This window comes from Homo sapiens, chromosome 19 (genome assembly GCF_000001405.40).
Source record: "Homo sapiens chromosome 19, GRCh38.p14 Primary Assembly".
In the NCBI taxonomy this organism is placed as follows: domain Eukaryota; kingdom Metazoa; phylum Chordata; class Mammalia; order Primates; family Hominidae; genus Homo; species Homo sapiens.
In genome coordinates, this window is record NC_000019.10 from 44,164,278 (window position 1) to 44,175,476 (window position 11,199).

At 40.7% G+C, this 11,199-nt stretch overlaps 1 protein-coding gene across 34 annotated transcripts in view, besides 2 other annotated features; it reads left to right on the forward strand.

The window, feature by feature from the left end:
* Positions 515-664: an enhancer, noted in NCBI's record as "active region_14756". NCBI's record gives its function as "activates an Ori minimal core promoter by ATAC-STARR-seq in GM12878 lymphoblastoid cells {active_cell/tissue: GM12878}" and the evidence as "EXISTENCE:reporter gene assay evidence [ECO:0000049][PMID:35858748]".
* Positions 725-844: an enhancer, noted in NCBI's record as "active region_14757". NCBI's record gives its function as "activates an Ori minimal core promoter by ATAC-STARR-seq in GM12878 lymphoblastoid cells {active_cell/tissue: GM12878}" and the evidence as "EXISTENCE:reporter gene assay evidence [ECO:0000049][PMID:35858748]".
* Positions 823-11,199, forward strand: part of ZNF226 (zinc finger protein 226) — a 34,391-nt gene continuing 24,014 nt past the window's right edge. For 9 of the 34 annotated variants that reach the window (XR_007066992.1, XR_007066995.1, XR_007066994.1 and 6 more), the window contains exons 1-5: positions 823-865; positions 1,480-1,530; positions 5,758-5,818; positions 7,811-7,937; positions 8,583-8,675. Coding sequence is in view for 26 of the 34 variants with exons in the window: in NM_001032373.2 (NP_001027545.1) it covers positions 5,804-5,818; positions 7,811-7,937; positions 8,583-8,675 (235 nt within the window). In the remaining 8 variants the exon portion in view is untranslated. Of the gene's footprint in view, positions 970-1,310; positions 1,531-2,427; positions 2,606-3,541; positions 3,584-5,287; positions 5,352-5,757; positions 5,819-7,810; positions 7,938-8,582; positions 8,676-10,706; positions 11,153-11,199 lie in introns of those variants that run through there. The other 25 variants (XM_047439374.1, NM_001388175.1, XM_006723367.4 and 22 more) reach the window with 25 other exon arrangements.

An 11,199-nucleotide genomic window follows, 5' to 3' on the forward strand; every position in this document is an offset into this window, starting at 1 on the left:
TCATTCACATTACTAAATAATATTGCATTATATGGCTAGACCACATTTTGTTTATCCACTCATCAGCTGATGGACATTGGGTCTTCTCCACTTTTTGACTATTATGACTAATGCTGCTATGAACTTTTTTAGAACAAGTTTTTGTGTGGATATCTTTCAGTTCTCCTGGGTATTTACTTAGGAGTGAAATTGCTGGCACATAAGCCCCAGATCGGGTGCCAGCAGATTCAGTGTCTGGTGAGGTCCCGCTTTCTAAGTCATACATGGTCCTTCTGGCTGTGTCCTCACATAACTAAAGAGGCAAAGGAGCTCCCTCAGGCCACTTATAAGAGAGCATTAATCCTATTCATGAGGGCATTGCCCTCTTGATCTGATCACGTCCCATAGGTTCCACCTCCTAATATCTTCTTGGGAGTTAGGATTTAAACATACGAATTTGGTGGGGGCCATAAACACTCAGACCATAATAATACCTAAAGAGAAGTGAGGGATTCTGGGAAATGAAAACCAGGAGCTCAAGGTAGTTGGACACTTCCACATCAGAAGGCTTGGACATTCCGGAAGTGTAGTCCAGGAGGGCGGTACTGTTCTGTTTTTCCCCCAACTCCAGCATTCTGTGATATGTAGTCCGGAGTTCCGTGTAGTCGCGCATAGCTCAGCTGCAGTAAGGCTGTAAATGTTTCCCCTGCGGAATCCTGGGAACTGTAGGTCCAATCGTTCTAGGTAGTTGTAGGCACTTCCGGCTCGAGGAAGGCAGTGCTGTGGAATTCTGGGAAGCGTAGTCCAGGTCCTCCTGATACTCGCAGGCACTTCCGCCCAGGAAGACGACGTAGCAGCCATCTTTTCCCTGGCTTTGGTGATTCAGGTCAGCTTCTCAGGAACCTTTCAAACTTCCCCGAAATGCACTTGTGGTCAGCAGCTAGCGGTCTTTTGTTTGGGGAAAAAAAGGAGTAGCGGCTAAGAGCGGAGGTTTGAGGGGCCAGGATGCTGTTTTGCGTTTCCCTGGGCGGAGCTTGTTAGAATTGGGGGCGTACTGGCTTCGGGCGGCTGGGGTGATGCTTCGTCGGGTTTGAAGGTCTCTCGGGCTGTTCGCTCCCTCATTGTGACTCCCCCACCTAATGAGCCAGCCCTACCACTTCATACAGTATCACATTGAGCGAGTTAGTTAATCCCCGTGCCTTCGTTTGCTGTTCTGAAGGAAAATAAAAGCAAAAACTTCCTAATAGAATGTTTTGAGAGAAAACGAGGTAATACAAAAAGTGTAAAACTGCCTGGCACGTGAATTACCAATACTACTGTAATTTTCCTAGAAACTCCCGTTCTGTGGCGAAATTCTGTGAGTCCATGAAGCTGGATTGTCCCTGACCTCTTTTGAGGAAGGAGAGGGTTGCTTCTAACTGGTCCTGGGAGATGCCACTGTGATGTATCCGGGATGAAGACACAATCCTGGTTACTTCATAGCCTGTTTTTCTTCCCCAGCCCTGACTTCTCAAAAAGCACTGCACAGAGGAGGAGGCAGCAGAACCCCATGTGAGTAAGACTTGTTGTTATTCTTGTTTTATTCACATAAATCAGAGAATGTGTGGGGTCATGTATTTGGGCATGAGAAGTGATTATAATTTAGCGTTAGTTGCTAAGTTCCATTCTAAGGGGTTTATACAAATGAACACCTTTCCACTATACAGTGGCTCTGTGAAGTGATACTCTTTTTCCGAGGAGACTGAGACATAAGAACATAACTTGTTTGCTCATAGCCACCTAGCTAGTAGGAGGCAGAGCTAGCATTGAAACCGAGGCAGTCTGAGTCTAGACCTGAGTCTTCTTTGGTATGTTCTGCATGAGCCATAGGCAGCTGGCTAGTATCATGTGAAAATAGGTTGGGACTTCACTGTGGGGACTTTGCTCAAGGTCTGGGCTATTCTATGACTTTTAAAAAATAGTGGCTGGGCACAGTGGCTGACGCCTGTAATCCCAGCACTTTGGGAGTCTGAGGCGGGCAGATCACTTGAGGCCAGGAGTTTGAGACCAGTCTGGCCAACATGGCGAAACCCCATCTCTACTAAAAATACAAAAATTAGCCAGGCGTGGTGGCCAACACCTGTAATCCCAGGAGTTTGGGAAGCTGGGGCAGGAGAATCGCTTGAACCCAGGAGGCGAGGCTGCAGTAAGCTGAGATCACACCGGTGCACTCCAGCCTCGGCAACTGAGCAAGACTCTGTCTCAAAAAAAGAAAAGAGTTTTTAAAAATAGTTTTCTCAATTATTAGTTTTATTTGTTTCAAATAATATAGAGGTAACACATAATCATGGAAAACACAGAAATACATTTAAAAAATGTAAATTCCCCATGACCTTAGGGTATAAAGATAACAACTATAGTTTAGTGCCTTTCTGTCAAGTTTTTCTTGTATATATTTCTGTTTATTAGGGGCTGTTTTGGGAGAGGGACTGAGTACAGTGCAACACTACTCAAACTGTGGTTCACAAAGCAGCAACATTGGCATCACCCAGGTAGAAAGGCTCATTCTTGAGCCCTACCGAAGGCCTTCTGATTTAGCATTTTTGCAGATAGGACCCAGAAATCTGCATTTCAACAAGATCCCAAGGTGAGCGAGATGCATGTTAAAGTTTGAGAAGCTCAGGAAAAGGTCTTATCTGGAAACTCAGGACTAGAAAACTGACCCTGCCAGATGTCACAGATAAAACTGAGCTGGCCATACTAGAACCCTACTCAGTCCAGTGATTTTTCTTTCCCACTAAATATTAACTGTCAAGTTTCTTTGCAAAAACCATGACATGAGTAGAAGGCAGCTGTCAAGTCTAGAGTCAAAATGGAGAAACTCAGAGTCCTGAAGATCTATTTCTCCCAGGCTTTGGGGAGTAGATTCCTTCCCATCTTTTGTACTGGAGGCCTTCTGCCTGAAGTGGGAAGATCAGCTACCTATTTATTGTTAATTAACGTTAGATATTATTGCCATAGTTGTCATCATCTCGTCATCGTTATTATTCTGATTAATGACTTTCCTAATTTCTTTAACTTTTTTTTTTTTTTTTTTTTTGAGGCAGAGTTTCACTTTTGTTGCCCAGGCTGGAGTGCAATGGCGTGATCTCGGCTCACTGCAACCTCCGCCTCCCAGGTTCAAAAGATTCTCCTGCCTCAACCTCCCAAACATCTGAGATTACAGGCACCCGCCACCACACCGGCTAATTTTTTTGTATTTTTAGTAGCGATGGGGTTCCACCATGTTTGCCAGGCTGGTCTCGAACTCCTGACCTCAGGTGATCCACCCACCTCGGCCTCCCAAAGTGTTGGGATTATGGGCATGAGCCACCGTGCCCAGCCAACTTTTTTTAAAAATATAATTTCAAACTTGTAGAAAAGCTGCAAAAATGATAACGTAAGGAAATCTCATATACTCTACACCCAGATTCACCAGTTGTTACGTTTGTTTGTTATGTTATGTTTTCCCTGTGTGCTCTGTTGATGACCATCAGCCATCACCAGGAACATACCTGTAACCAACAACAATTGTTTGTTTTAGCTTGCTGCATCCAAGGAGCCCACACATGCATGGGGTGTCTTGGTAAGAGGCAATTAGGAGGACCCTGGTTATAGGGTTTTGGTTTATGTTAGATGAGTTGGGGAGAGTTTTAGGCAATGGGTTTGTTCTGGATTGGATGCTGTGAAGAAGCAGTAGTAATTTGATCAGACTATTGTAATTTTTATGTTGGAGGTGGGGAAATAACAAGACTGGAGTTGTCACTGATAACAAAGTGGTCATGTTAGATGGAAGAGGCAATTATTTGGCTATTTTTATCAATGTAGGATGTATTTCTCTCTGTGTTACAAGCTGTTTTGTTTTTTTCTTTTTCACCATGATCACTGAGTAGACCTGTCTCATTCTTGTTGATAAATTGGAAACACCAGGTTCTGGTTGTTGCTGCTGTTGTCAAAGTAGTTTTTTGTTTTGTTTTTTTTTTTGTCTTTTTGCTTTCACAACTTTGTCATACTTATATTTTGTTTTTGTCTTTTTGCTGAAGTATTTGAGAGCAAGCTAGAGATAGTGATGAAAATGAAATTAGTTACATTGATAACTTACTGTTATCTAACCCACAGTTTGTATTTAAACTTACTCCATTTTCCCATTAAAGACTTTGAAAGTAATTTCTTCCCCCAGATGAGTTTCCAGTCTAATTGTATGCATTGCACTTAGTTTTGGTTTCATTAGTCACCTTTAGTCTAGAATGATTCCTCAGACTTTATTTCTTTTTTGCTCTCGATATCTTTCTAGAGTATTGAGAAATTATTTGTAAAATGTTCTTATTTTTTTGTTTCCTTAATATTTATTCATGATTAAATTCAAGCTATGCATTGTCAGCAGAGATGCCATAAAAGTAGGGAGGCATCCTTCTCAGTGCATCATAGGAGTCAAATGTTGGTTTGTGGGTTTGTCCCACTAGTGGTCTCAACTTTGTTTTTTTGGATAAAATGTCTGCCAGGTTACCTTTTTCCTTTTGCACTTAATACTTTGAGACTATGTAGCCATCTTATTCCTCACCAAACTCACCAGTTTTTAGCAGCTATTGATGATGTTCTAGTTATCTTTCATTCTACCTTTATTAGTTTATGTGTTCTACTATAGGAGCTTTCTTTTGTCACCCATTTATTTATTACACATTCTTTTGTTTATAACAATATAGACTCAGGTTCCTCCCTTTTCCTTTTTTTTTTTTTTTTTTTTTTTTTTTTGAGACAGAGTCTCACTCAGTCGCCGAGGCTGGAGTGCAGTGGGGCAATCTCAGCTGACTGCAACCTCCGCCTCCTGGGTTCAAACAATTCTTGTGCCTCAGCTTCCCAAGTAGCTGGGATTACAGGTGCCTGCCACCATGTCCAGCTAATTTTTGTCTTTTAGTAAAGACAGGGTTTCATCTTGTTGGCCAGGCTTGTCTTCAACTCCTGACTGTAAGTGATCTGCTTGTCTTGGTTTCCCAAAGTGCTAGTAGGATTACAGGCATGAGCCACTGTGCCTGGCCAGGTTCCTGCATTTTTAATTTAAGTTAGGTATGGATTGTCAAACGGTGTTTTTTAATTGCGGTATCTTCGGTTTTATTAGTTCAGTGTTGGCAAATTATTGGAAAGACGACAAGATGTTTTTCAGAAGTTATAAGACACTTTCACGTGACATAGCAACAACCTGTGAACTCCAACTATCTTATAATATTCTGTTGGTGGAAATTATATTTTTAAGGATAATTTCAAACCATAGACCATCTTCTACTTATTGCAGTTGCAAATAAATAAGATACCTGACTGTGTTGTAAGAGCTTTCTACCTTCCAGCAATCCGATGAGGTTGGTACTGTTATTCTTTACCACTTGCAGATGACAGAAGTAAGGCAAAGAGATGTTAATAGTTTCCCCAAGGTGACGCTTTTAGTGTCAGGATTTTAACCCATGCATATCAATTCCAGGCCTACTGTACTTATATTGTCTCAATTTACGCTGTACTCAAAATAAGAATTACTGGCGTGCAATTACAGGCACATGGGCAGTGAGGCCACTGTGTGGTTAGCCTGGTTCTGAACTACTGCTGAAAGGGGTAGTTGGATATCTGGGATCCATGTCATAATCTGCTTAAAAGCCACATAAAGCTGCAGCCACCCCAAGAAGCACACACCTTTGCTAATTCCTAAAGAGCAGCCACGTGCATTAGCAACATACTTACCCAGTTTTGATTTATTTCTCTCTTCTTTCCTAGTTCAGCTTCTTAGGACTCTGCACTTCCCCAGAAGGAAGAATTAAAAATGAATATGTTCAAGGTGAGTAGAGCTTGCCTTTCCCAGCTGTTAAAAATACCATTTTAGTACTCAGAGATGGAACCAGGTTTTTCTTTTTCAAGTAAGAGTCAAGGCATCTGATGACCTGTTGAGTGTGCTAGGTGCTTATTTTGTTCCGTTTGAGTTTAGCTGGTTTTGGTTTTAGTTTTATTTCGTCATTTTTATTTTACAAATAAAGGTAGAAAAATTAATAGAAATGATGGGTGGGCACAGTGGCTCACACCTGTAATCCCAGCACTTTGGGAGGCCGAGGCAGGGGGTGGGATCACTTGAGGTCAGGAGTTTGAGACCAGCCTGGCCAACATGGTGAAACCCCATCTTTACTAAAAATACAAAAATTAGGCCGGGCATGGTGGCTCACGCCTGTAATCCCAGCACTTTGGGAGGCTGAGGCGGGTGGATCACAAGGTCAGGAGATCGAGACCATCCTGGCTAACATGGAAACCCCATCTCTACTAAAAATACAAAAAATGAGCCAGGCGTGGTTGCAGGCACCTGTAGTCCCAGCTATTCGGGAGGCTGAGGCAGGAGAATGGCCTGAACCTGGGAGGCGGAGCTTGCAGTGAGCAGAGATCGTACCACTGCACTCCAGCCAGGGTGACAGAGCGAGACTCCGTCTCAAAAAAATAAATAAATAAAAAATAAAAAAATTAGCCAGGTATGGCGGTGCACACTTGTAATCCCAGCTACTCAGTTGGCTGAGGCAAGAGAATCACTTAAATTTGGAAGGCAGAGGTTGCAGTGAGCCAAGATCGTGCCACTACTCCAGCCTGGGCAATAGAGCAAGACTCTGTCTCAAAAAAAAAAAAAAAAATTAATAGAAATGAAAAAATCTTATTTCCATAATCTCTTCATTGTATGTACTTGTAATTATATATTGGCATTCATAACATAGATATAATTTTACATTTCTTACATTTATAACATTTATTTTTGTTGTATTTCTATCAAATTTATGTATCCAGTTTTTAAACTATTCTCTATATACAGTTAGTGTAGGATTTTTACTGTTTTAGGAACTACAGTGTTAGTTTTCTTGCATTTAACTTTTTCTGAAAAAATCAATTTTGAAAAATACTGCCTTTTAAAATCCGTAACATTAGGTATTCAGAATTGAAAAGGTATGTTTTGTGTGTGGTACTTCAGATTTTTTTTGATAGAATATTCAAATATGGCACAGTGTGTCAAGATTTAACAGCTGCTTCACCCAGAAAAAATATTAGACTTTTTTTTACTACAAGAGCTAGATTCTGTCTTCCCCATGCCTCAGTCATACCCTGTGTGTTTACTGGTCTTTTTCCCTTTTAATATTTTTTTTAGTTAAAGTAGTATGTGACCTTAATTTAAAATGCCTAGTGGTAGGAAAGGATTTGCCAAGCACTTACACTCTGCCCCTGTATTGAGACCTCACAGCAACTATGAAGAGGTTCTTTGTTTTGTCTCCATTTTAAACATAAATAGAAAAGGGCTTGTGAAAAATGAGGAACGTGCTCAAGTTCACATGGAAAACTAAAGATCCGGGATCAGTGTATTATATTCAAGTGAAAGACCAAGACAGGAGGACAGAGAGAGTCCTTCATTCAGAAACCTGACATGCCCTTTAGGTTTGTTTCCACATATAACGCTGCTCACTTGGCTCCCACCTCAGTAGGAAGGCAGGTGCTATCAAACACTATTGGGACTCAATTGGTAAACCTTTCTGGGGAAATTGGCAATGTTTTAGGTTCAGCAGGTAACAGTTCCAGGAAATTCCCTTATAAGAGTACTCACTGAGAGCATCCAGTAAATATACAAAGCTTTCTTTTTCACAGCAGCACTTTTGGTAAGTCAGTGTATGGCATTGGCAAGACAGGAGAAGGGCTGGGAAATCTACAAACGGCTGGGCATCCAGAACAACTTTCCACCTGTTCTCAGTGTTACCCATCTTCTAGTGGACATTGGTTGTAAGATTGAGGTCATTTGTTTTTGTCGTAGGAAGCAGTGACCTTCAAGGACGTGGCTGTGGCCTTCACGGAGGAGGAATTGGGGCTGCTGGGCCCTGCCCAGAGGAAGCTGTACCGAGATGTGATGGTGGAGAACTTTAGGAACCTGCTGTCAGTGGGTGAGGACAGCCTCCCTCTGGAATATCTTTGTGCCCTTGGAGTTTTAAGGCTTTGTGGCCCTTGAAATTGTTCCCTGAGTGTGGGAATCTGACTTTCCTAATTTTTGTGGGATGCAGAGACACTGGATGTTTCTGGTCTTTCTGAACAGAATATTTTAGGTCTTTTTCATTTGTGTTTTATAGAAGAACTGTAAATGAACAGAATACTGCTATGCCTTGTCTATTCTTTTTCATGTTTTACACCTGTCCCAGTATTGAATTATAAAACCAACTTATTGAATGTCATCAGCAGATTTTAATGAAATAAAATAGGGTAGAAAATACTAGAACTCCTTAGGAAGAATGGCACACACTGCAGCAAAAACTCTGGCCAATTGCTTGAGTGATGTGAGAACCAATGGGAGATTTAAGGAAAACAGACATTAGTTAAAAATAGGTTATTCAAACTTGGTTTTCATAATATGTATTTACGCATGTGTGTCTGGGTCATGAAATAAATGGTGTTTCTTTACTGAAGTCACAATTTAAATAAAAGTTTGAAAAACACTGCTTTCAGTGTCTTGAATGTGCAGTTGCAACTCAGATTTCCAGTGTATTTTAACTCTAATATGTTCATTTTCAACTTGTGATTTGGCATTTTCACAGGGCATCCACCCTTCAAACAAGATGTATCACCTATAGAAAGAAATGAGCAGCTTTGGATAATGACGACAGCAACCCGAAGACAGGGAAATTTAGGTAAAAACCAAACAGTTATGAGTTCTTATAGTTAACTGTCCATCTGCTTTGCTTCTTCTTAGCCTTGTTGCCATCACCTGGTCCAAATTGCCAACTGTCTTTCCTGGATTATTGCAACACCCTTTGTACTGCTTGCCCTGCTCCCACCCCTCTCCTCTTACATTCTGTTCTTTAAGTGGCAAAGTGAGTTTTTGTTACCTTGTGTCAGACTATGTTGTTCTTCTGCTCAAAATTCTCTGTGACTTATTTTACATAGAGTAAAATCCACTTAATGTGGCTGACAGAGTCTTACACGGTGTGCTTTTCATCCCCCACTACCTCTCTAAATATATCTTCTATACTCTCTTTCTGTGAATTCCAGCCACATTGTCCTCCCTCTTGCTTTTCAGACCTATCAAGGATGCTTCTGCCTCACAACCCTGTGTGTTCTTCCCTCTGCCTGAAATAATCTTTTACCTATAATCCTTCTGGTCCCTTCTTCATTCATTTCTTTGCTCAGTTTTAGTATTATAAGAAAGGCCTCGGCCGGGCACGGTGGCTTGCGCCTGTAATCCCAGCACTTCGCGAGGCTGAGGTGGGCAGATCAATCATGAGGTCAGGAGATCGAGACCAACCTGGCTAACACGGTGAAACCCTGTCTCTACTAAAAATACAAAAAATCAGCTGGGCGTGGTGGTGGGTGCCTGTAGTCCCAGCTACTCGGCAGGCTGAGGCAGAATGGTGTGAACCCAGGAGGCAGAGGTTGCAGTGAGCTGAGATCGTGCCACTGCACTCCAGCCTGGGCGATAGAGCGAGACTGTCTCAAGAAAAAAAAAAAGAAAGGCCTCCTCTGACCACCCTATTAAAAATACATTCTCTCCATTTACTCTCTGTGCACTGCCTTATATTGTGTGTAAGCACTGATTATCACCTCATATATGTTTTTGTTTAGTGACGTTTGTCTCCTCACTGGAGTGTAATCTCCAGGAGTGGAGGAATGTTATCTATTTGCTTCTGTCTCCTCAGTGCTTAGAATAGTCCTAGTATATGGCAGAGACACTATAAATATTAGTTGAATAAATGAGTTAATGGAAATCTGTCTTCCATGGAGGTAACTAATAGGTGGTGAACAAATCAGCATAAATAAGGGATATTGCAAAATATTTTTTGTCTTCTAATGAATTCCTAACCTAATTCTAATTTCTCTTTGTGTGTGTGTGTGTGTGTGTGTGTGTTTGCATGTGTTTGCCTGTCTGTACAAGTTGACCCATATCTTGGGGAACCTATAGTGTCATAGTTGTAACCAAACTGAATAACATGCTTTGTTTATGACTTTCTTTGAGCATTTGTAGCAGAGCATATTCATTCGGGGAGGGAATATTTTACAATAAGGACTTTTATTTCTATTTCTTAGGTATTCCCCCATAGAAGGGAATAAAATTCGATTTCCTTATCCATTATATCAGGAAAGAAAAAGTAAAACTAAAAACCAGGACATGAGCATTAGCCTTTCCCTCAAAATGTTTGCACAGTTGCATCCCATTTGCTTCTTCCAAAGTCCACATTCATAAAAAGAAATGGATCTTACATTGTTGCCTCTCAAACATTTATATCGTGTAGGCTTATATGTATGTCTTTAGAAGGCCTTTTATGTAATGACACCATTACTGCTTGTGATTATTCTGATATGATACTTTATCTGTTTTTTTTTCCTAAATATCACAAGCTATTAAATTTATTTCACAATTGACTAGTAGACCACTTTGTCAATTTGGAAAACATTCTTGTTAAAGACAAACATATCTACATCCAGAAACTTTCTATACCTTGCTTTCAAAGAGACAGCATTCTTTGCTAGCCTTCCAATTTTGACTCAGTGCAAAAGCCTTAGAAGGATCCAGTGCATAGGTCTTCATGCTTTCCTTTCACCCCAAGTGATTATCAACTTTGATTTTTCTCTTCAGCAATAACTCACTTGGTGTACCCCTACCTCAGGTACAGCTTTTCAACTTTGCAGCAAAACTGTACTTTCTAGTTCTTTTTGTATTTCAGATACCTTACTTGTAAAAGCTCTTTTGCTCTATGACCTGGCTCAAACTTAAACTTGGATTTGAAGTTAGAAGAAATGTTGGAAGTCATTTATATATGAAGAAATGTTGGAAGGACTCATATATGCATACATTCCTTGAGTGACTATGAATGACTGCCGGGCAGTAACTTCTGGGCTGTGGTTGTAAACTGTGAGCACTACAAAATGTTTTTCCTTATTGATACCATATTATGGTAGGAAAGACATGGAATAAAAAATTTAGATAGTATGTCAGTAGTTGTGTTTTTAAATGGGTTTCATTAGTGCTTAGCAATTGGGAGCTTGGTGGACCATCTCTTGGTTTTGGACCATCTCTTGGTTTCTGTCAGTATGTAAACCAGAAACTTCAAATGTGTCACAAAAGATGAGCAGAACTATCCCGAGGTTCATTAAAGTCTTTTACTCTGTCCTCAGTGTGAAATCTTAAATCTTTGAACAAAAAAATTCACTATCTCT